General features: G+C 39.6%; 1 protein-coding gene across 4 annotated transcripts in view, besides 1 other annotated feature; it reads left to right on the top strand.

The window, feature by feature from the left end:
- TYW1B (tRNA-yW synthesizing protein 1 homolog B) overlaps nt 1–25,668 on the top strand; it is a 253,688-nt gene that overhangs the window by 187,434 nt on the left and 40,586 nt on the right. For 3 of the 4 annotated variants that reach the window (NM_001412179.1, NM_001145440.3, NM_001412182.1), the window contains 2 exons: nt 11,770–11,880; nt 23,928–24,095. In NM_001412179.1, coding sequence (NP_001399108.1) covers nt 11,770–11,880; nt 23,928–24,095 — 279 coding nt within the window. The remainder of the gene's footprint in view (nt 1–11,769; nt 11,881–23,927; nt 24,096–25,668) is intronic. The other variant, NM_001412180.1, reaches the window with a different exon arrangement.
- Nucleotides 17,474–17,973: an enhancer, noted in NCBI's record as "H3K27ac hESC enhancer chr7:72087779-72088278 (GRCh37/hg19 assembly coordinates)". NCBI's record gives its function as "activates a minimal SCP1, AML or CMV promoter by ChIP-STARR-seq in primed H9 embryonic stem cells {active_cell/tissue: H9 hESC(primed)}" and the evidence as "EXISTENCE:reporter gene assay evidence [ECO:0000049][PMID:30033119]".

The raw sequence follows: 25,668 nt of genomic DNA, 5'->3' as shown, positions 1-25,668 counted from the left end.
TTATTGGTTACTGAGAGAGATGTGTACAAATGTTCCATTGTGACTATGGCTATGTTAATTTCTCATTTTAGTTATGTCAATTGTTACTTCATATTGATGCTATATTGTTAGGTACTAGTATATTGTTTATACTAGTTAAGAATTGTTACATATTTTTGGTGAATCGGCCTTTTTATAATGCCCTTCTCACCTTCTCATCTTAAAGTCTGTCTAATACTAGTAAAGCAACACTAGTTTTTTTTTTTAGGTCAGTGCTTGCATAGTACAACTTTTTTCTTTTTGTTTTTATTTTCAGCCTTTTTTGTATCTTTATATTTAAGTTATATCTCCACAAGACATTACCATTTTTGTGTCATGCAGTCAGTATTCATGATTTACCCAAAAATTTTCTCTTTAGTCTTTCGTGTGTCTCTGCTTCCATCTGAAGGACTTTTTAATAACATGTAATTGGGTTTGTTTTCTTAAACATTTGGAAAATTTTCATCTTTTTGAGTGTTTATCTGTTTGCATGAAATACGATAATTGATATAGTTGAATTTAAATTTAGCATCTAATTATTTGCATTATTTTCCTCCCCTTTTCAGCTGTCTTTTTCTCTATTTTTTTGCTTTCTTTTGTTTTTAACTAAGGAATTTTATTATAAGTTTTCCATTCTGTTGGTTTTTAATATTTATTTTTTTATTATTGTTCTTTTAGTTGTTGCCCTCGTGATTGACGCAGGCATGCTTGACTTATTAAAGTCAATGTAAATTAACGTTTATATCATTTTATAAGCAATAGCACTTAGAATACTTAACTCCATTAACTCCATCCCAACTTTTATGCTGTTTTTGTTGTACATTTTACTTTTGCATATTGTTTGAACCTCACATGACCTTACCATTCTTTTTTTTTTTTTTTTGAGATGGAGTCTCACTCTGTTGCCCAGGCTGGAGTACAGCGGCCCAATCTCAGCTCACTGCAGCCTCTGCCTCCTGAGTTCAAGTGATTCTCCTGCCTGAGCCTCCCGAGTAGCTGGGATTACAGGTGCGTGCCACCACGCCTGGCTATTTTTTTTGTATTTTTAGTAGAAACTGCATTTCACCATGTTGGCCAGGCTGGTCTTGAACTCCTGACCTCAGGGGATCTGCTCACCTCGGCCTCCCAGAGTGCTGGGGTTATAGGCATGAGCCACTGTGCCCAGCTAAGACCTTACCATTCTTGTTTCATACAGTCGGTATTCATGATTTAACCACAAATTTTCTCTTCAGTCTTTCCTATGTCTCTTCTTCCAGCTGAAGGACTTTTTAAAAAACAAACAAGCTGGATGTGGTGGCTCACACCTGTAATCCCAGCACTTTGGGAGTTCAAGGTAGGAGGATCACTTGAGTCCAGGGGTTCAAGACCAGCCTGGGCAACATAATGAGACCCTGTCTCTACAAAAAGTAAAAAAATTAACTGGGTATGGTGATGCACCAGTGCACTCCAGCCTGAGTGACAGAGTGAAACCCTGTCTCAAAAAAACAAAAAATTTAAAAAAAATTTAAAAAAATAAACACAATACCATTATCACTCCTAATACAATTAACAATGCATTTTAATGCATTTCCTGAAAATTCAAATGTATCTCATTTTCTCTGATAGTTTCCAAAAGAATGTGTTTTTATAACTTTTTTTCTCAGAGTAATATCTAAACAAGATTCTCACATTGTACTTTGTTTATACTTCTTGTAATGTGATTGCTCCAATCCTGTTTCCCTTTCTTGTGTGCTACTTATTTGTGGAAGAAGGTGGGTCATTTGTCGTTAGAATTTGCAACATCCCAAATTTGGCTGATTGAGTCCTTTTGGTATCTTTTAATATAGTCTGTGTTTCTTTGTAATTCCTGTAAAATGGTAGTTACAACTAAAGGCTCGATTGACGATATATTCAGTTTTTGGCAAGAATACTTAATAATTGTTGCTGTACTGTTCCCTAGTGCATCAATCAAGTGGCACACAACATCTGGTTGTTAAGATTGATTAGTGGATTTTCTACATAGATAATCATGCTATCTCTAAACAAAGACCGTTTTATTTCTTTCTTCCAAATCTGTTTTCTTTGTATTCCCCTGTCTTGTCTTACTGCATTGATTAGGACTTCCAGTACCATGTTGAAAAGCAGTGGTGAGAGAAGACATCCTTGCTTTGCTCCTGATATTAATGGGAAAGCTTCCAGGTTCTTGCCATTAAGTATGATGTTAGCTGTAGGTTTTTTGTAGATATCCTTATTAAGTTGAGAAAATTTTCCTAGTTTGCTGAGAGTTTTTATTATGAATGGGTGGTGAATGGTGTCATATGCTTTTTGGCATCTATTGATATAATCACGTGATTTTCCTTCTTTATCTTGTTGATGTGATGGATTACATTAACTGATTTTCAAATGTTGAATCAGCCTTACCTACAGGTGGGTTGCAGACAAACAACCCATTTTGTTTGCTTACATACAAATGGCAAATGGTTTTCCTGGGAGTATTTTAGTGGAGAACTGTGAGAAGCTCTATTGCACAGTGCTGGTCTTTTGTTTGATAACCAAGATGTCTGTAGTTAGACTGTTTGGGACATTTGTCACATTAGGACCCCCTTCCCCTATGCTCTTGGGATATTCTGAATTTACCATTATGCTGCTTATCAGATTAACATTTCTGCATGTGTTTTTTTCCCCCATTACAAAAGTTTTACTCATTTACTGTAGAAATTTGGGGCAATACAGGAAAACATAAACCCAAACAGGATAAATAAAAACATTTTATGAAATTTTTAAAAGCAGGCAGAGATAAAGAGAGATTACTTTCAAAAGAGCAACAATAGGCCAGTACTTGATTGCACAACAGAAATGAGAGCACAAACCATGGAGCCTCAAAGGGCTGAAATTTGCCAAGAGCTGCCAATCTAGAAGTCTGTTCCCAATGAAAATATTTTTCAAGAGTGAAGGAGAAAAAAAAAGTTTTGAAGAAGACAAAATGCCTACTTAGTAAAGGAAATAGGTTAAAAATCAATAAGCTAAATGCATATATTAAGAAGTTAATTGGTACCCACAATGTTTTTTTTTTTTTTTAAAAAGAAAAGAGCAGTAGATTAAACATAGAGTAAGTACTTGGAAGGAAACAAAAAGAGCAGAAATTAAGGAAATAAAAAATATCCATAAAATAGGATTATAAAAAAGCGAAAGTTGGTTATTCAAAAAATCTTACAAAACTGATGATTACCTGGCAAGTTTAATCAATAAAATGAGAGATGGTACAAATAAGTAATGTTAGAAATGAAAATGAAACATCACTATAGATCCTATAGACATTAAAAAGATAGGATATTTTGAATTACTTTATGCCAATTAATTTGGGAATTTAGATGAAATACACAAATTCCTAGAAAATGAAGCTTAAGAAAATTAATACTAGATGAAATGATCTACATGGACTTATAATTGTTAAATAAATTGCTTTTTTAAATTTAAAACCTCGTCCAAAGGAAACTCCAGGCCCAGATGATTTCATCGTTGAATTATACCAATTCTTGATGATACCAGTCATCAGGAGAACTAACACCAACCCTACACAACTATTCCAGAGAGGAATAGTAGCACTTTCCATCTCACTTCATTAGTTCAGAATAATTTTTTTTTGAGATGGAGTTTTGCTCTTATTGCCCAGGCTGGAGTGCGATGGCGTGATCTCAGCTCACTGCAACCTCCACCTCCTGGGCTCAATCACGCCCAGCTAATTTTGTATTTTTAGTAGAGATGGGGTTTCTCCATGTTGGTGAGGCTGGTCTCAAACTCCCAACCTCAGGTGATCCACCTGCCTCAGCCTCCGAAAGTGCTGGGATTACAGGCATAAGCCACTGCGTCCAGCCAGTTCAGAATATTTATACCAAATTCTAAGAAGAATAAGACAAAAGCGATTTTTACTCATAAGCATAGAAGCAACTATTTTAAAGAAAAGGTCAGCAAACTAAATACAGCAGTCTATAAAACCATGAAAAACTGGCTTTATTCTAAGAATGCGAGTTTTGTTTAACGTGTAAAAATCAACCTATTTATGATGTCATAATAAAAAAGAAAGCTGGTAGGATAAGGTTAATAGATGCATAAAAAGAATTTGACAGAAATCAATATTTATTTATGATTAAAATCTTGTAGCCAATTAGGATTAGAAGGAAACTTCCTAATCTGATAAAGATATTTACCCATAAAAGTCATACTTCTTGAGTAAATGTTTAAAATCTTACTGTGCAGAATAAGACAAGCATACCCACTATATTTGTCACCACTTCCATTTAACATGGAATCAAAGTTCTGGCTGGTGCTAAAAGACAAGAAAAAGGGGAAAAAGTTATGATTGGAAAGGAAGATGTCATTTTTAGTAAATAAATGTGTACATAAACAATCCTTTCCAAAATTTGTAATTATTCGCTTTAATAAATGTATTTTACAAGACTGCTATATAGATACACAGTCAGCTTACAAAAATCAGTTATATTTCTGTATACCAGCTATTAAAATATCAGTTAAATATTAGTTAAAAGAGGAAAAATAGAAAAGATAGTACCATAACAAAGCATCAAAAGTATATTACCTAGGAATAAATCTATGGAAATATGTTTTTGACCTTTATATTGAAAACTATAAAATATCATTGAGAGAAATTTTAAAGGATCTAAATAAAGGTAATTATTTTGGCAGATTCAGGGTTGTAAAAGTATCATTTCTCCATACACTGATTATATTTAATTATGGTAGCCACTAGCTACATGTGACCATTGAGTACTTGAAACATGGCTACCCTGAATTGAGCCGTGCTGCGCATTGGAATTCAAAGACTACACTTGATCTTAGCCAAAAGGCCAAGAAGAGATGGAATTCAAAGACTTAGTCTGGTAAAAAGAATGTCAGGTATCCCAATATTTAAATATTGATTTCTTCTTGAGTTGATAATTTTGAGGATATGTTAAGTTAAAATACATTTTTAAAAATTTCACCTGTGAACTTATATTTCTATTGAGCAACACTGGCTTATAGATTCAATGCCATATCAGGCAGAATCATAAAGGGTTGTATACGTTTATGGAAATTAGTAAGCTGATTCTAAAATGTACATGGATATGCAAAGGGCCAAGAATGGCCACCATACTCTTTCAGAAGGACGACATAAGAGAACTTGCTCCACTGTAGGATTTTTCAACGTTGGCACCATCGACATTTTAGACTGGATAGTTCTTTTCAGGAAAAGGGTTGGGGAGACTGTCCCGTGCATTGTAGGATATTCAGCAGCAGCCCTGGCCTTTACCCACTAGATGTCAGTAGCAGCCCCCATTTGTGAAAACCAAAAAATTTTCTCAAGATGTTGCTAATTGTCCCCTGCGGTGCAGAATCGCTCCTGGTTGAGAACCGTCTCTATTGGATATCAAGTCTTAGTGTAAAGCAACAGTAATTAAAAGTGTGATATTGAGACAATGAGAAACAATTAGATCAGTGGAACAGAATAGAAAAAACCAGAAGGAGACCCTCACATGCATAGACAATGATTCTATCATATTTATTACAGTGGACTATCCATATGTTAAATAAGTTTAACTTCTCAACACCACACGCAAAAGTCAGTTTTGGTGGATTTTTGACACAAATGTGAGTGGCAATATGATAAAACTTTAGAAAAAAATGTAAGAGCTTATCTTCATGCTCTTGATAGCATGGAATGATCCTTTAAAGAGACATAAGAAACACTAATATGAAAGAAACGCTAATAAGGAAAGAAAGTGGAAATGTATGAAAGTTAGGAATTCTTATTGATCAGAAGACATTGTGAAAAAAAGGAAGCCATAAAGTGGATGAAATTATTTCTAATACGTTTATAACAGAGCTTTTCTTTCCAGCAAATGCAAATAATTTATTGAAAATCAGTTGGAAAAAAGACAAATATTCCAACAGAGACATATTCAAGACATTTGAACCAGTACTTCACAAAAACAGAGATACAGATAGCCAGAAAACATATGAACTCAGCTTGCTTACATCTGCAGGCAGATGCAAAACCAAAACAATGCAAAAGTGGTGAAAACTAGCAACACTAAGTGTTGTTGAAGATAACAACCAACCAAAACTCTGATACAACGTGGGTGAAAGTGTGGCAAAATGTCTTTGGCAATCAGATTGCCAATATCTGCTAAGGTCGAATGTATACATATCCCCCATGACCCAGCATGTCCATATTTAGGTAGATCCTAGAAAATGTGTGTTCTTGTGCATCAAGAGACAAGTACAGCTGGGCACGTTGGCTCATGCCTGTAATCCTAGCACTTTGGGAGGCCAAGGCAAGAGGATTGCTTGAGCCCAAGAGTTCGAGACCAGCCTGGGCAACAAAGTGAGAGCCTGTCTCTACAGAAAAAAAAAAAGAAAAAAAAAAAAAGCTAGGAGTGGCAGCATGTGCCTGTAGTCCCAGCTACTCAGGAGGCTGAGACAGGAGGATCCCTTGAGACTGGGAGGTTGAGGCTGTAGTGGGCCGTGCTTATGCCACTGCACTCCAGCCTGAGTGGTGGAGCCAGACCCTATCTCAAGCCAGAAAAAAAAAAGGAGGTGGGGAGAGGGAGAGAGAGATGAGTACAGTAGCACTCATGGCAGCAGCATTTTCTAAGAAACCCAAAGTAGGGGGTTAAAATCGTTCGCTAGTAGTGTGTTCATACAATGTGGCCATAAAGATGTATTTATGGTGACACATAAGTACCATGCACTCTACTGGGCCACTGGAGCTCCAGTTACATCAACAGCATGAATGAATCTTGCAAACATCGAATTCACTGAAAGAAGCCAGACACAAAAGAATGTATGTCCCAGTAGCATTTTATAAAATTTCCTTAAACAGGCAAAACTAAACTCTGGTGTTCAAAGAGATAACCACATTGTTTTATAATAGCTAAAACCTGGACATAATCCAAATGTTTAGGGAATGGTTGAATAACTTGTTGTATATTCATGCAACCCAATACTAGATAATGAAAATGAACAAACCTAAACATGGAGCAACATAGGTGAATTTTATAAACACAGTGTTGAGTGATAGACACCAAACACAAAATAATGTATGATTCCACTGACGTAAATTCCAAACACAGGCAAAAACTAGACTATTATGTTAAAGTCAGGATATTAGATATTAGTCAGGTGAAGGGAGTGGATATTCACTGGGAGGAGCAGAAGGGTGTCTGGGTGATGGGCATTTTGTGATAATCCCTGGAGTTATACATTCATGTTTTGTGTACATTTCTCTTTGTGTTTCATCTCACAGTTTCAGAAGATTTAGCAAAGTGAGAGAGAGCCTATTCTGGTTCCTACTGTTGCATGACAGGTGAGCCCCAAAACTGGGGCTTAGCTTGGGAGGGTTTTTGGCTTTGTCCAGTAAAGAATTCAAGGGCAAGCCAGTGGTGTTAGACGGGAATCTTTTATTGAAGGGTACAGCTCCTTGCAGAGCAGGGCTAACTCATAGGCAGCGCACCCAGAATGGGCATTGTATGGGCTCCTGGCAACTGTATTTATGCACATATTTACATGCAAATTAAGGGGCAGGCCAATGCAAATAAAGGGGTGTGTTATTTAGAACTTTCTAGGAAAGGGGCAGTAACTTCTGGGTTGTTGCATGGCATTTGTAAACTGTCATGGCCCTGGTGGGAGTGTCTTATGCTAATGCACAAGAAGGCTATCTTGGGATCACCTTAGTGACCATCTGCTGGTTCCTGCTGGTTTCTTCACTTCATCCTGTCTGGACCTGTTTTGGTCAGCAGGGTTGTGACCAGAAAACAAGTCCTGCCAGTCTCCCACCTCACTACTGCTTGGGTTCACACCCCAGCTTTGCTGCCCTCCAGCTGTGTAACTTCAGGCAATTTACTTAACAGCTGTCAGCCTCACCTTCATATCTGTAAAGTGAAGGTAATAATCCAATCTATTTTGTGAGATTTGTTGTAAAGATTAGACAGACATTGGAATCTTTGCCAAGCTACAAAGCACTTTATAACAACAGCTGCCACATAGTAAGGGCTGAGTAATTGCAAACTCCTGCTATTATTTTTATGGTTACTGTTGCCAGTTTATTTGTTCAGATGAATTGTAAACTCTCATTGGAATTACATTATATTTATAAATCCATCATGGCTCTCCATGTAGATTGGTTTTTGTTTAGGTCTCTTAGAAAAGTTTATTTTACTCACTGTCCTGCATGCTATTTCATAATTTAATCATTAGGAATATATATAATATATATGTATATATGTGTATATATATATTTTATATATATATGTATATATATATTTTATATATATACGTATATATATATTTTATATATATATGTATATATATATTATATATATATACGTATATATATAATATATATGCGTATATATATAATATATATAATATATATACGTGTATATATATATAATATATATAATATATATACACGTATATATATATATACACGTATATATATATATATATTTTTTGGAGACAGGGTCTTGCTCTGTCACCCAGGCTGGAGTGCGTTGGTACGATCATGGCTCACTGCAGCCTCCACCTCCCAAGTTCAAGCAATCCTCCTGCTTCAGCCATGCCCGGCTATTGTATTTTTTGTAGTGATGGGGTCTCTTTATGTTGCCCAGGCTGGTCTCGAATTCTTGGCCTCAAGTAATCCTCCCATCTTGGCCTTCCAATGTGCTGAGATTACAGGCGTGAGCCAGTGCACCCAGCTGAAACACTAGGCATTTCATAATTATAAGTAGAATATGCTTTCTCTTGAATTTTGTAATTGCTGATTGCTGGCATATAATAGCTAATACTTGGTATGATACGCTGCTGCCAGGCTTGGTTCTAGATTCCACATGCTAAATGCTACATTCAGGTAGAAACTAAGAACAGAGAGGTAATGATACCTAGTACATGGGTTGGGATTCATTCTGGCCCCTGTGTGCACATTTAACTCACTACTGTATCCTTGGAAAGCTGTTTGTTTATATATATATATATTTTTTGGTAACTGGCCTAATCTCATTTTTAGTTGATTCTCTTAGGTTTCCAAGAAACCAGTCATATTATTTACAATTAATTATTTTTCATATATTCTCCAGTAATTCTTATCCTGGCCTTGTTGCTTTGATTATAACTTGTAGAAAAGTGTTTTTTAAGAAAGAGTAGAAATTCTTCTGTTAGTCCAACTAAATAGAAATGCATTTATTTATTTATTTATTTATTTGAGACAGAGTCTCACTCTGTTGCCCAGGCTGGAGTGCAGTGGTGCAATCTTGGCTCATTGCAACCTCTGCTTCCCAGGTTGAAGCAATTCTCTTGCCTCAGCTTCCCAAGTAGCTTGGATTACAGGTGCCTGCCACCATGCCTGGCTAATTTTTGTATTTTTTAGTGGAGACGGGGTTTCACCACGTTGACCAGGCTGGCCTCGAACTCCTGACCTCAAGTGAGCGACCCACTTCGGCCTCCCAAAGTGCTGGGATTACAGGCGTGAGCCACCACGTCCGGCCCCTCTATTTTTTTAGCCAGTAAGAATAGTGTTGACTATTGACTGGAGAATGTTGTGGATTTTTTTTTTTTTAATGTTAAGGATGTGTTTAATTAACTGAATTTACCAAATGGCGTTTGATTTGCTCATTCTGTTTTGTTTTAAAAGCAGGGATGGCTTTTAAACTATATCAGATACCTTTGGGTATCTATGAAGATGATCATGTGGTTTTTCTGTGTTGAACTACTAGTATAATGAATTATATTACTGTATAGCCTAATATTGAATTGTTTTTGCAATCCCGGGATTTTTAACAAAATGCTGAATTTTACTTGCTAAAATTTCTATAAGATTTTTACATATATAAGTATGAGTGAGATAGGTCTGCAGTTTTCTACTATTTTTGTTAGCTTTTGGCATTGGAAGGATTATAAGTATGTAAAGGGAATCTGGAAGATTTCTGAATTATAAGTATATAAAGGGAATCTGGAAGATTTCTGTCTTTCCTTGCATGATATACTGCATTTTAGAAGGAACTTTTGAGTACACATGAGTAAATATGCTTGGAAAACATTAATTTCTGGTGTGGCTGCCTAATATTCCTTATTAACGACCTCTTAGTTTCCTTCAATGAAGATTTCAAGTGTTTCTTCTTTTTTATTAATGTTGGAAGTCTTCAAACATAGACTAAAGTAATAAGATTGGTATCATTTTGTGCATCCCTTTCACTTTACTGTTTTTTTTTTTCTTGAGTATTTTGAGCATTGCTACTTAAGGTGTGGTTTGAGGGTTGGCAGCCTGAGTGTTACCTGGGCATTTGCTACAGATGCATGTAATCATGTACCTAGAACCACATACATCCCATCACCTTTGCCATAGTCTGTTGGTTATAGGCAAGTCACAGGTCCTGCACCTACTCAAGGGGTGGGTCTCACTTTAGATTTTAAGCCATTCTTCTTATTATTTTTATTTATTTATTTATTTTGAGACAGTCTTGCTCTGTCTCAGTGCAGTGGCATGATCTCAGCTCACTGCAACCTTCACCTCCCAGGTTCAAACGAGTCTCCTGCCTCAGCCTCCCAAGTAGCTGGGATTACAGGTGCACGCCGCCACGCCTGGCTCATTTTTGTATTTTTAGTAGAGGTGGGGTTTCACCATGTTGGCCAGGCTGGTCTCAAACTCCTTACCTCAGGTGATCCCCCTGCCTCGGCCTCCCAAAGTGCTGGGATTACAGGCATGAGCCACCACACCTGGCCTTAAGCCATTATTAATAATGTTGTCCTGAGATTTTTTAGTGTTTTTGAATGTTTAATCATTTGTTTTGGGTTCTAAAAGGGAGCTACAAAGTCAGAGTGTAAGCTTTTTAAAGGCTTTAATGCCTATTGTCTAATTACATTTTCAGAAATCTAGCTTGGCTCGGTGTGCGCCTATAATCCCAGCCCTTCGGAAGCCTCAGGCATGAGGGTCACTTAAGGCCGAGAGTTCGAGACCAGCCTGAATAACACAGCAAGGACCCCATCTCTAAAAAAATTTTTAAACTTAGCCGGGCATGATGATATGTGCCTGTAGTCCCAGCTACTTGGGAAGCTGAGGCAGGAGGATCACTTGAGTCCAGGAGATAGAGGCTGTGGTGAGTTATGATTGCACCACTGCACTCCAGCCTGGACAACAGAGCGAGACTCTGTCTCTAAAAAAATAAAGAAGAAAAGAAAGAAAGCCAGTCCCTCTTGTGGTTATGTGGCACACAAATGGCAACATTGATAATCCATCCATGTACCTTTTCTGCCAGCAAGAAATGCCAAGAGATCATTAAATAATGAGGGAGTAGGAAAGAAGACAGGACTTGCTAACAATTCTTGTCACTAACAACTTGGGTGATTATTACCTGAAAGCCTAGAGGGCATTTCAATTAATTTTTTATGGCCTAACACTGTTTGGTCAGTTTATCATTCCTTACTAAATGTAATTCAGTGTGTCTGTGTCAAGAAACCTCTGGGTGCCTGGCATAATGTTAAATGTTGTGGGGCAGAGAAAAGAAATATGTCAGTATCTCATGTGCCTTCCATAAGGCATGTTAGAATCATAGTGTTTATTTTTGTTTCATCTTTCCTCAAAATATAGCTTCAGTTTACAAAAGTTCATGATGAGTTTTGCCTGCCCTGGGTTCTCTGGGTTGAAAAAGCTTGAGAAACCCTCTAGGTTAAGAGGTGACATCCACCAAGATAACAACGAAGTTGGCTTTTCCTTTGTTTTAGCAACAACGAACTGTCTACAGACTGATGCTCGTGAAAGCATGGAACGTGGACGAGCTCCAGGCCTACGCGCAGCTCGTGTCCCTGGGGAATCCTGACTTCATCGAAGTGAAGGTAAGCCCCTGCTGACTCTGGTGGCCGTGGTGGAGTGACAAAGAATCGTGGTGCTTCGTTGGCCATCGTGGAGTTAAAACCTTGTAAAACTCTAGAGGTCCCAGGAATTTTATTGATGTATTCATTTCGTGATCGATATTCATCAAGAACCTGGAATTGTTCTAGGCCTTGGGGATAATAGCAGTCAAGAAGACCAAGCTCTTGCTCTTATAAAGCTAGTATTTTAGTGGGAGGATGGACAGTCCACACAAAGTGAGTCATTAAAAACCATGTAGTGACATGAATATGCTGAGAAATAAAATAGTGTGGTGGTGAGTAATTGGTTGACTTTTACATAAACCTTTATTTCAGACATAGACGGAAATAGAGAGATTGGTCTAATGAACTCCCATCCACCCATCACTCACCTTCAAAAATGATCAACTCATGACCCAGAGTTGTTTCAATTATACCTTTACCCATTTTCTCTGCTCTTAGCCCAGATTATTTTAAAGCAAACCACCAAAATTATATCATTTACCCAGAATTATTTCAGCATATATTCCTAAAAGATTTCTACTCTTATTTTATTTACTTTATTTCATATTTTATTTTATTTTATTTTGAGACAAGGACTCGCTTTGTCACCCAGGTTGGAGTGCAGTGCTGTGATCGTAGCTTACTGCAGCCTCCAACTCTTGGGCTCCAGCAGTCCTCCTGCCTCAGCCTCCTGAGTAGCTGGGACTAGAGGTGCACGCCACTATGCCTGGCTATTTTTTGTAGAGAGAAGGTCTCACTGTTTTGCCCAGGCTGGTCTCAAACTCCTGGCCTCAAGCGACCCTCCTGCCTCGGCCTCTCAGAGTGCTGGGATTATAGGTGTGAGCCACTGTGCCCGGCTGATGTGTATTCTTTCGAAACAGTTATTCAGAGTACTGGGCTCATACCTAAAAATTTTCAACTAAAAATTTTAATTTCGTCTTCCATGTGTTTTGTTTTTCCTCTTAGAAATCACTTTGCTGTAGAAAATGGATCATGCATCTTGGCTGATGCCCTATGTTTATATTTTAGATTTTGTTGATTGCATGTTTCTGTGCGTCCTGTGGATTGGTGCCTATAGTTAGATCAAGAGAAGATTGATTAAATTCAGGGGTGCATGTGTGTGTGGGTTTGTTTGTATTTCAGGAATATTTCACTGGTGGTCCTGTATACTCCAATCAGGAGTCACATAATGTCTGCTTGCCTCTCACATTTTTGCAAATGTTTCTTTGGGATAGATTCCGATGAGTGTATTGCTGGGTCAAAGGGTAAATGCATATATTATTTTACTAGATATGGTGGTTGACTATTTTAGGGAAGCTTTTCTGAGATGACATTTTATTTTATTTTATTTTATTTATGTTATGTTATGTTATGTTATGTTATGTTATGTTATGTTATGTTATGTTATGTTACTGTTTTTTGAGATGAAGTCTCACTCTGTCACCCAGGCTGGAGTACAGTGGCGTGATCTCGGCTCACTGAAACCTCCGCCTCCCGGGTTCAAGCGATTCTCCTCCCTCAGCCTCCCAAGTAGCTGGTGCTACAGCTGCCCACTACCGCACCTGGCTAATTTTTCTATTTTTAGTAGAGACGGGGTTTCACCATGTTGGCCAGGCTGCTCTCGAACTCCTGACCTTGAGTGATCCACCCACCTCAGCCTCCCAAAGTGCTGAGATTACAGGGTTAGAACTACCGCGCCGGGCCTGAGATGACATTTTAAAAACTGATACGTAAATGGTAAGCAGAAACCTGGGGTAAGGGCATTCCAGGCAGGTGGTGCTAGTGCATGGAGGTCCTGTGCTATCCTAGTGGAGTGGCTGAGGTTGGCAGTGGCGTAGGATGAATCAGAGCAGTGGGCTGGGGCAGCTTTTATGAGGCCTTTCAAGCAAAGATAAGGGGATTGGATTTTAAACTAAGTTTGATGGTAAGCTTTGTAAATATAGGTGCACTAGGAAAGGGCGTGAAGCTGGGGAGAGATGCAGTCTGATTTGTGATTTTAAAAGATCACCCCACTGCTGCAGCATGGCTTGGTTATAGAGGGCAGTAGAGTAGGCACAACAGTCACAAAGTGAGTGGTTAGTCCAAGCAAGAGATGGTTTGGGGAAGGTCAGTGGGACTAGGGCTGGAGAGCAGTGGGTGCATTTAGGATTCCTTTTGGAAGTAGAACCAATAAAACGTTTTGCTAGGTTATAGGTACGGGCTGAACGAAAAAAGAATCAAGAATAGCACCTGGGTTTTTGGCTTAAGCCATTGCGTGGATGGCGAAACTGTTTGCTGAGATACAGGAAACCAGGAGGGAAAAGGGGACATATTTGGGGAGAAATGTTGAGCTCCCTGTTGGCAACATTAAATTTGAGATATCTTTTAAATATCCAAGTAGAAGTTTAAATAGATCATAGGTTTTATAAGCTCGAAGTTTCAGGGATAAGATAGGGCTAGAAATAATGATTGGAAGTAATGGCTTTTTTGGGCAACTAAGAGTCCACAAGACAAGAGAAGTGATGAGAAAATGTACCCTGTCTGGGAAAGCCAACTCTGCTCATTTCCGTTTATGGCTTTGAAACTGAACCCTGTCTGTGTCATATCAGAGGTTTTACAGCTGTCTTTTGGTGAGTTTAGCTTTTGGTGTTACTCTAGAGGGGTGGGGAGGTGGGAACAGATGAAATACTGCTGTCTGAGTACGTAACATTTTATCTCTGGTCAGGCTGAAGACACTCTTGAAATTGCACTTAATTTCAAAAGGCTACTCTTGGCAGGAGCTCTAATGATGCAAAGATACAAACTGCAGCTGAAAATATATGTATCAGCTTAAGCAAACCTTGCCAACATCAGAGATTAGTGGTGTTTTAATTTATGATTTAGCTATTAAAGAATGCTGCCTCAAATTATGTTGCAGTAAAACCTCTATTATAATAAAGCAGCTTGGCTGGATCTCCCCTTTTTTCATTTCCTTCCTTTCTTCCCCCCCCCCCGCCCCACCTCTCCCCCCTCCTTTCTTACTTTCGCAGTCATGTTTTTCTATAAAGAACAGGTATTTTAAATCTGAAAAAAATCAGTCAACATTTTTTAAAGAAAGACAGCTACTTGGTAAACAGTATAATTCTCTGATGGGTATTATTTGGTTCACCAAACTATGAACATCACTAGGAAATAGATAAAGCCTTCTGTCTATAGCTGAGATGTTTTGTTTTGTTTTGTTTTGTTTTTCTGAGACAGTCTTGCTCGGTTGCCCAGACTGGAGTGCAGTGGTGCAATCATGGCTCACAGCAGCCTCCAGCTCCTGGGCTCAAGTGATCCTCCCACCTCAGCCTCCCGCTCCTGGGCTCAAGTGATCCTCCCACCTCAGCCTCCCAAGTAGCTTGATGACAGACGCACACCACCACACCTGGCTAATTTAAAACATTTTTGTATTTATAGAAATGGGGTCTCACTATGTTGCCCAGGCTGGTCTTGAACTCCTGGCCTCAAGCAGTCCTTCTACGTTAGCCTCCCAAAGTGCTGGGATTACAGACGTGAGCCACTGCACCTGGCCTAGCTAAGATGCTATTAACAACAGAGTTTTCTTTCCAAATTTCCATTTTACTATTTTGTCCTTGCATTCAACAATATTTTTGAGCTCTCTCCATGTGATAGGCCTTGTTAAAGCTCTGGAGATGAAAAATTTTATGTGAATGTGCTATTTGGGAAATGAATGTTTTATTGAAAATAGGCAAAAATCTATAAAAGTAAAATGACCTACTCTGAGAGATTTTATAATTGAAAACTCTTGGAGAAATGTATAACCACAATTAAATTTTTTTTTTTTTTTTTGAGACAGGTTCTTACTCTGTCTCCCAGGCTGGAGCGCACTGGCACAATCTCGGTTCACTGCAACCTCCGCCTCCTGGGTTCAAGCAATTCTCATGCCTCCGCCACCCAAATAGCTGGGATTACAGGTGTACACCACCACGCTTGGCCAATTTTTGTACTTTTTTGTAGAGACAGGGTCTTGCCATGTTGCCCAGGCTGGTCTTGAACTCCTGAGCTCAGGTGATCCACCCGCCTTGGCCTCCCAAAGTGTTGGGATTACAGGCGTGAGCCACCACGCCTGGCTTAAAATAAATATTTTGATGATAAAATATAATGTAATAAATAACAGTTCATGTTACTTCAGAGGGAGGCACATTCAGTCATGTCATATCTTTGATAAAAGACCCCAGGGAGAAATGTCCTGCAATGAATGTCAAATGCCTGGTCACTGGAGGTCAGTCTCATGCTTTGTGAACTTACCTGTCATTTGTCCAGCAAGTTAATGAGATTCTTCCTTGGATGCTGTAGTCGCAAAAGGGATATTTACAGAATAGAGCATACTGCTACTAAGAAGCAAAACAAATTCTAGAATAATATTTATTATGCAGTTCCATTTTTTAAATTTTAGTTTGCATTTTACATCCTTGATTACATTTTCAATGTTGTATGTTCAGATGTATTTATGTAAGAAAAGTATGGAAGGATATCTGTCAGATTGTTTACAGTGACCTATTTGGGAGAAGGGGAGGGAAATGTTTATTAATTTTACTTTTTGTAATTATGTAGTGTGTGGATTATTACAACGAGCATGCATTGGTTTGTAATTCAAAAGACAAATGAAATCAGTAAATGGAGAAGGCATGCTTTTCCTGTTCAATAGGATTAAACTACAGAATGTCTGAAAATACATCTTTTTGTCATTGTTGTCTTATTAATTAAAGTTAAAAATTTCTCAAATAGAGGAGTTTTTAAAATCATTGGCTGGGCCTGGTGGCTCATGCCTGTAATCCCAGCACTTTGGGAGGCCGAGTCAGGCAGATCACTTGAGGTCAGGAGTTCGAGACCAGCCTGGCCACATGGTGAAACCCTGTCTCTACTAAAAATACAAAAATTAGCTGGGTGTGGTGGCAGGTGCCTATAATCCCAGCTACTCAGGAGGCTGAGGCATGAGAATCACTTGAATCCAGGAGGCAGAGGCTGCAGTGAGCTGAGATCGTGCCACTGTACTCCAGCCTGGTCAAAAGAGCAAGACTCTATCTCAAAAAAAAATTAATAAATAACAACAGCAATAATAATAATAAGACCTCTCCATAAAACATTTGATAAGAACTAGCAATATGGCAGGCTATAACCTCAAACCTCTCTAAGGATTAACACTTAGAAGTGAATCTGTTATGAAAACCATACGTTTGGGAAGGTGCATATCTGTCAGGGCTGTAAGGGAGACACTCTTGGAGCTGGAAGAAAAGAGACCATTCTGGAAGTACTCCATGGTCCTAGTAGACAGGACTAGGGTTTAAAGGACAGAAGACTAGGCCCTTTCACCTTCAATGAAAGGATGGATTAGGGAAAAACTTACCCACGGACACAGTAACACTTGGAAGGCTTGTTCTGTACCCGTGCGCTTGGTAAAAAGGAAAAGTCTCTCCAGGGCCTTACCCTCAAATGGCCTTGGAATTCAAATTTAGTATTATGGTACCTCAAGGTCATATAAATGCCCCCAAGATGTGAAATCAATAATACAAATTGGCCCTAGATTCACAGATATGCCTGGAGCTCCCTGCAGATGCAGACACAATGCTGTTCATACCCTTTGTATTTCAATTGAGTTGCTTATCTTTTTGTTATTAAGTTCTTTGATTTTAAAATGGAAACACACACGTATGTGTATGTGTGTGCATTCAGAGTACTGTACTGAATTGTTGACAAATTTCTAAATCCAGTTTGAGGAAGGTTTCTAACATGTATGTATCACCCAATTCAACTTCTTTTTCTCATTTTGCTTGTAGCACTAACCTAATTGGATTTAGGAAACTCTTCCTTCCTTTTTCTATCTACCCTGTGTGCAGTTTCTCTTTTGTGAGTCAAAGGAAAAATCATCTTAACTTTGGTCATAGAAGTGGTAGCATGAACAACCCTTGGGTCAGGAAGGGCGACTGTAAATGCGGGAGTGGCGTCATGGCCAGGCATGCCCTCGGCATCTTTTCTCCCTGACATGTGTGAGTGCGTGGTGTGTTTGTGTGGTGTGTTTGTGTAGTGTGTGTGCATGTGTGTTGTGTGTGTTATGCATGTGTGTTTTGTGTGCGTGCATGTGTGTGGTGTGTGCACTTGTGTGTGTTGTATGTGTGCATGTATGTGTGTTGTGTGTGTGCATGTGTGTGTTGTGTGCATGTGTATGTGTTATGTGTATGTGCATGTGTGTGTGGTATGTGTCTGTATGTGTGTGTGTTTGTGTTTGTGTGTGTCCGTGTGTGCGTGTCAGATCTGGGGTCTCCCATAGTCTGCACTTACTAGAGTCTCATGTGGGGTGAGAGGCAGTGCCCAGTTTTGATACCTACGTAAAATGTGCCAATGTAGCCTAGGACAGGTTATTCATCCTCCTTGAGCCTAAATTCTGTCAATATTAAAATTAGCATAAGAATATCTCTTTAATAAGTTTGTTTTGAGAATTCAATGGGGTAATGTATGCCCAGATTCAGTAAGTTTTTAGATCACTTTCCATTAAGCACATTTATTTAAACGAAATCAATAGAGGCTACTGCTTTATCATATCGGTTTCCTCTTTTCTTTCCTTACCAGTCTTGTAAAATATTTTTCTGCTATATTCCTTGTAAATTAGCATGTATCTTAGCTTCATTAGGCTTAAAGAGGCCTTTATTTGCTAGCCTGAGAATCTTCCTTGTCATTATTTGCTTGCTTGCTTGTGAAAAGGTTTCATGTTACAACCATCTGTCTTGCTGAAAACTTTTGTAACACAATCCATTTGTAAATGAAATACTGTCTGTGTGTTCTCTGCCTAGCATTACACCTTGAGAATAGGACGTGCTCAGTAATTATTTGTTGTCAAATGATTTAAAACTACTTACTGTTGGCACCCTAGCTGTGTGTAGTGCTCAATCCTTGCAGAATGCACCCTGCAAAATGATTGTCTTAGCATAGCCTCACTCTCTCCCACAAAGGTGAGGAATACTGTCAGTTTTTCTTATACGTAGCAGTCCCTAACCAGCGTTTATCAGCTGGTTCATACCTGTTACAGAGTAGAAAACTCCTGAGTCATGTGAATGAAATTTTGTATTGGATTAGAAAAGAGTTGTGGAGTTTAATGTCGTAGGAGAATGTCTGACTTGATTTTTTGATCATTTAGCATAGATTGATTTGGGGTGCCAAGAAGAGCAAGGCACAGCCCCTGCCCTCAAAGGGCTCAGAGTTTTGACGCTTCTTTATACCAGTTACCTGGTAACAGATAACTACACAGGATATGATAAGATCAGGGTCAGATAGCGTAGAGGTTCCTGAATGGAGGTTAAAGAAATGATGGGTCGGTTTAGCCAGGTGCAGACAGGATGCTGAGTGGGCAGTCCAGCTCTAGAGTTACTTGTGCATATGGCCAAAGACAGGGGCTTGAATGGCTGATGGTCCATTGTTAGCGCAAGCTACGGAGGCAGGTGAGGAAGGCCTCGTGCCGTGGTGAGAAGCTCAGGCTGGTTTAAAGGGGAGTTATTGAAGCATTTTTAGGATAAAGGAATGAAGTATTTGGGGTTTATTGTGGGGAAAAAAAAATCATTTATGAAGAAAGGAGGTTTGTTTGGCTCATGGCTCTGCAGGCTCTACAAGAAGCATGGTGCCAACAGCTGCTTGTGGTGAGGGCCACAGGCTGCTTTCAGTCATGGCAGAAGACAGAGAAAGAGAGACAGACAGACGGACAGAGAGACAGACAGATGGACATTGTCCTTGTGACCCAAACACCTCCCATTGGGCTCCACCCCCAACACTGGGGATCACATTTCAGCATGAGGTTTGAACGCTCAGATAGCCACAGTATGGCAGCCCCCATCTCCTAGGGCAGTGGGGGTGGGTCCAAAAGCTACCAGGCTATAAAAGTGTGGGTTATGCTTTTCACTGCAAACTCAAGGATGCATAAATGATCCTGTTCTTCACGAACATTCTTGGGGTCTGCTTGTTACTCCTCAGCCTGCAGATTCTGATGTGAGTGACTTGGCTTTTCCATCACCACGCTGTACCCATCTATTTTCTTCAGACTGTTCTTTATTCAGAGTTTTGGGTGAAGAACTTGCTGCTTCTGATAAATGGAGTTGGGGGTGAGGGTGAGGGTGAGGGTGAGAGTGGGTGAGAAGGTGGCAGACAGCTGTGATATGAAGGGAAAGTTTTTTAGATAATTCTGTGCTCAGGAATAAAGTCAGGGCAAGCCATCAGTAGACTAGAGGGTAGGATGAAGTGGGGCAGTCGCAGCAGAGAGAAAACCAGACAGAGCCATTGGGCTCTGAGTGAGAGCTCGGGGTCCCTGAGGTGACCCCCAGTCTAAGTCACCAAGAACATTTTCTGCCCAGAGCATTTCTGTCACGGTGCAGCCTCTGGCTTTGCGGTTGACTCAGGAAGTTACCCAGGACTGCTTCCCTCAGAGGGTTTTGTTGTTGTTGTTTGGTTTTTGTTTTGTTTTGTTTTGAGACAGAGTCTTGCTCTGTTGCCCAGGCTGGAGTGGAGAGGCACTATCTCAGCTTGCTGCAATCTCCGCCTACTGGGTTCGAGCGATTCTCCTGCCTCAGCCTCCCAAGTAGCTGGGATTACAGGCGGGCACCACCACGCCCAGCCAATTTTTGTATTTTTAATAGAGACAGGGTTTCACCATGTCGGCAAGGCTGGTCTCGAATTCCTGACCTCAAGTGATCTGCCCGCCTCAGCCTCCCAAAGAGCTGGGATTACAGGCATGAGTCACCGTGCCTAGCCTCCTCAAAGGGTTTTATCTGGCAAAAATGAGAACTTTTATGTGAAAATACCATAAAGCATCATAGAGTTGTAAGGAATGGGTGGAGTCATGATAATGAACCGCAGCAGGCATTCTCTCATTCCATTCCCAAACTAAATCTCCCCTCAGTGTTTCATGGCTATTTTTGCTGAGTAATAAAATATTAAAATATTTTCAAAAGCTGTTCTCACGAAGACAAGATCTTATCTAACAACTCTGATTCAGTGAACTAACTTTTTAAATATTAAAAAGAAAGTCCTTTGAAGTAGCTACTGCATACATGGTTGTTTGTGTAATCCACACATAAGCAGTATTTAAATTGAGATAGAGTACACTTTTATGACTAATGCTTATCAATAAATAATTTTCATGTTTTTTATGCACTTGGTAAGGCTAGCAGTTTTTCAGCCATGCTTTCGTAATGATTTCTTTTTTTTTTTTTTTTTTTGAGACGGAGTCTTGCTCTGTCGCCCAGGCCAGACTGCGGACTGCAGTGGCGCAATCTCGGCTCACTGCAAGCTCCGCTTCCCGGGTTCACGCCATTCTCCTGCCTCAGCCTCCCGAGTAGCTGGGACTACAGGCGCCCGCCACCGTGCCCGGCTAATTTTTTGTATTTTTAGTAGAGACGGGGTTTCACCTTGTTAGCCAGGATGGTCTCGATCTCCTGACCTCATGATCCACCCGCCTCGGCCTCCCAAAGTGCTGGGATTACAGGCGTGAGCCACCGCGCCCGGCCCGTAATGATTTCTTGAACCATATCATTATTTTCCTTTTTTATTCACCTTAAGCTCTGTTACTGAGCAAAAGGGGCTCACTGCCTGATGCTCTGGAAGCCAATACTAATTGACATAGGGTTTTTGAGGGGGGAAAAGAAAGCTTTTTTATTGCAAGTCGACTAATAAAGAGACACTAAGTCCAGCTCAAATTTGTCTTCCTGTGCAGGTTTTAAGGCAGTGATTTTATTAGGGGATGGATTCTCAGATTAGTAAGTGATTGGTGGAAGGAAAGGGGAGATCTGGAAAGTCCTCGGACATGCGCAGTTGTCTGTTTGATCATCCTTGCTCGTGGTTTGCATATGCAAATTTAGGGGGAGTTAGTATGAAATGTGGTGGAAATTCGGGCTGTGACGTCAGCAAGCTCTTTCTACTCAGACTCCATTGGCCATGTTGGTTCCAACCAATTTCATCCATTTTTTTTAAATCTCACAAGCAGAGGGAGTTTCAGCAGTTTTAGCAAGTTGTTTATTTTCTTACACTGCCATCCTGCAAACACAAGGATTTCTGTTAGTCGTTGGTTTCTTTAACTCTGTGGGGCACAGTTTCAGCTCCAACTCCGTTTAATGAATTCTCTAAATCACTGGGCAAACTGAGAAGATTCTCTTGTTTATTGTAATTAAGCTGGGTGGCTGTGGTTTATATTCCACAAAGGCCATCACAGTTTAGTGCACCAGTCATCTTTTTGAACAGCTGTCTTGAGTCGAGTGTTTGGCAAAGCTCATGTGAGTCTTCGTCCAAGTCCCAGCTCTGTCATCAGGGTCAGGGTCACTCTGCTCATTTGTTGGTTTTTAAAAATTAAGTGTTGGCCAGGCGTGTTGGCTCACACCTGTAATCCCAGCACATGGGAGGCCGAGATGGGCAGATCATTTGAGGTCAGGAGTTCAAGACCAGCCTGGCCAACATGGCGAAACTCCATCTCTACTAAAAATACAAAAATTAGCTGGGCATGGTGGCACATGCCTGTATTCCCAGCTACTTGGGAGGCTAAGGCAGGAGAATCGCTTCAACCCAGGAGGCGGAGGCTGCAGTGAGCCGAGATCAGGCCACTGCACTCCAGCCTGGGCAACAAAAAAAAAAAAAAAAAAAAAAAAATTCAGTGTCATTCTGCATTCTCCAATTTGTCTGTGGTGTGTGTGTGTCCTGTCTTTATATGTATTTGTGTGTGTTTGTGTGTGTGTCTGTGAGTGAATGTGTATGAGAGGTGCACATGCCTTTCTCCCCACTCCCTCCCAGTTATTCCCCACTTAGCGGAATCATTTCTGGGATTTTCTCAACAAGTTGTTGAGAAAAGTTTGATTTGTGGGTATTTGAAGAGCCCACAGAGGTAAGATTTATTTCAAGAAATAAGATAAATCTTTTAGTATTAGAAAATTAATCATTTTACCATTATGTAATTTACCAAATAAAGAACTTAGTTATGAAATTCTGGGGTCTTGTGTGCCTTGGCTATTAGGTAGAGTCCAAAAGAGTTAGATAATTTAACTTTCTGCAGTTGTACTTAAGAATTTCTGTGTTGGTGAAATACATGTGTATATGTAGTTGTGTGTAAAGGTATGTAGGTACATGCACAAATATATTTCCCTTTTGGCATGATTGTTTATGTAACCACATTCAAAGTGCATTACAAAATGAACTCCTTAAAGAATAATTTTAGGCCAGGTGTAGTGGCTCACACCTGTGATCCCAGCACTTTGGGAGGCCGGGGCAGGTAGATTGCTTGAGGCCAGGAATTCAAGACCAGCCTGGTCAACATGGCGAAACCCCATCTCTACTAAAAATACAAAAATTAGCCAGGCGTGGTGGCAGGCGCCTGTAATCCCAGCTACTCGGAAGGCTGAGGCACGAGACTCTCTTGAACCAGGAAGTGGAGGTTGTGGTGAGCCGCGATTGTGCCACTGCACTCCAGCTTAGGTGACAGAGCAAGACTCTGTCTCAAAAATAATGATAATAGTAATAATTTTAAAGGGATCCTTATCTGTCACTTTAAGGAAAAAGTTTGCCAGTTTCAATCTCAATTATACTAGAAAATGGAAGCTCAGCTTATTTTCCCAGTGAATCAATTACTTGGTCAGTGAATTTTTATGAGTGTCCACTATGCCCCCATTATTGTCCTAAGGGGTGATAACCCCTTCATAATTCCTCAATTATAGTGCACAGATGAATCTGAATCAAAAGACATGCTATTGATTCAAATACATTATTGTGACCAGACAGCCTAGATTGTGACAACGGTAGAAAGCGCAGGTACTTAAGCCCCAGCAATGTCATAGAGTAGCAAGAGCATCAGCCTGCTGTCTTTGTCAGTAGCTACTTGTATGGTCTCCTAGGCAGATTTTATCATCTCTATATTCACTTCCTTCACTGTAAAATACGGACTGGATTGCATTGGTTGACCTCAAGAAGGCTTTCCGGCTCTGAAAGTCTTCTATGACATGCAGGTAGGTCTGTAGTCATCTCTGATGGTTATACTGTTTCCACAGGGCGTTACCTACTGCAGAGAAAGTTCAGCAAGCAGTCTTACCATGGCCCATGTGCCCTGGCATGAGGAAGTGGTACAGTTTGTCCGCGAGCTGGTGGATCTGATCCCCGAATATGAAATTGCATGTGAACACGAACACTCTAATTGCCTCCTGATAGCACACAGAAAGGTAAGAATAACTCAAACATGGAATCTTCTGTTCCCTGACCCTGCTGTTCTTTCCTTCTCTTCTCTCTTTATTTTCCTCTTACGTTGTTATAGGGATGATCTGCGTGCTTGCTACCTTTCCCAAAACAAAAATAAGAAAGCACTAAATTCTGTCTGCTGGGCTCATAAACTCTTTTCCATGTGAAATTGCTTCTTGTTTAGCCCTCCTCTGGACACCTTGAAGTACTTTCTGGTTTGCAATTTTAGAAGGTGCATGCTAACAAAACAAAAGCAAAATGCCCTTGTAATAACCTCTAGTCCTTTCCTGGAATGACAGGGAAAAGCTAAAATAGTAAATAGTCCCCATATGGGTTTCTAGCTGTCAGAAGCAATATTGAGGTATCTATCAAATTTTAGATTGCTTGAATCTTGGCATCTGGAGAATTTTGTTTGGGATTTTAGTTTATAACACTATTTCCATTTTTCCCCCTTTAGTCCTTTTATTAGATAGAACAAGTATATGAATCTAGTATCTTTCTTAAGTAAATAACTCCTAGCAAAGGAAAAATCCAGTTCTTGATAGAGGTGGGCCACTAAAATAATTTGCTAATTTTCTAGAGAAGTTCTGGAAAATTTCTTAGTCTTTATTTCTTTAAATACTTATTCTTTCTCATTATATGTTCTCCTCTAGGACTCCAATTAAACATATGTTAGACGTCATTATATTTATTTTTTTATATCTCTTGCCTTCTCATTTGTATTTTTTGTGCTTTTGTCTCTCCATCTCTCCATATTTCATTTTGGGTAGTTTCTATTGATTCATCTTCCAGTTCACTAAGTCTTGCTTCAGCTGTGTCTCCTGTGCTATTAAATTCAACCATTAATTTCTTAATTTTGTATTTTATGTTTTTTTAATTGTATAATTTCTGCTTGGTTTATTTCAAAAATGCTATTTTGTATAATTTCTATTTCCCTGCCGAAGTTTTCAAGCTTGGGTTTTATCTTCTTGAGTACTGGAAGTGAGTTGTTTTATGGTTTGTATCTGATAATTCCAATGACTAAAGTTCCTGTGGGCGTGTGTTTGTTGTCTGTCATTTCTGCAGGTTCTCATTCATGTTGCCTTGTCTTCTCCAGTGCCTTGTTGTTACCTGTGATTGCATTCTGTACATTGTATTTAGAAGATTATTTCTAGAAATCAAGTCAAGCCTAGGATCAGAAGATCTCTTCTGAGGTGTTTTAGATATGTGATTTAACCCTCTCACTTTTTCCGTATGGAATCTGAGGTCTGAACGGTGAAGAAACTGGCTTAAATGGCTGTGTCAAACTGGAATCACAGCCTTCTCTCCCTCTAGTCCATTGATCTTTTTTATACTACAAGGCATCTTTCAAAACCATTGGCAGTATTCAAAGGAACATTTAAAACAGGACAATTTAATTTTAGTCTAATCCTTTACTTCAGTCTGTAAGATTTCTTCTCTTTTCCCATGAGGATAGAGGAAATAGATAGCAAACCATCTCATTCAAGCCAATTCAGTTCTTCAAGTGTTTATTGAATGCCTGCTGAGTTCTGGACACCAGGCTGTGCAGCAAGGGAC

This window comes from Homo sapiens, chromosome 7, assembly GCF_000001405.40.
Source record: "Homo sapiens chromosome 7, GRCh38.p14 Primary Assembly".
Lineage (NCBI taxonomy): Eukaryota > Metazoa > Chordata > Mammalia > Primates > Hominidae > Homo > Homo sapiens.
The sequence above is the reverse complement of the archived record's forward strand: the minus strand, read 5'-3'. Positions and strand labels throughout refer to the sequence as shown.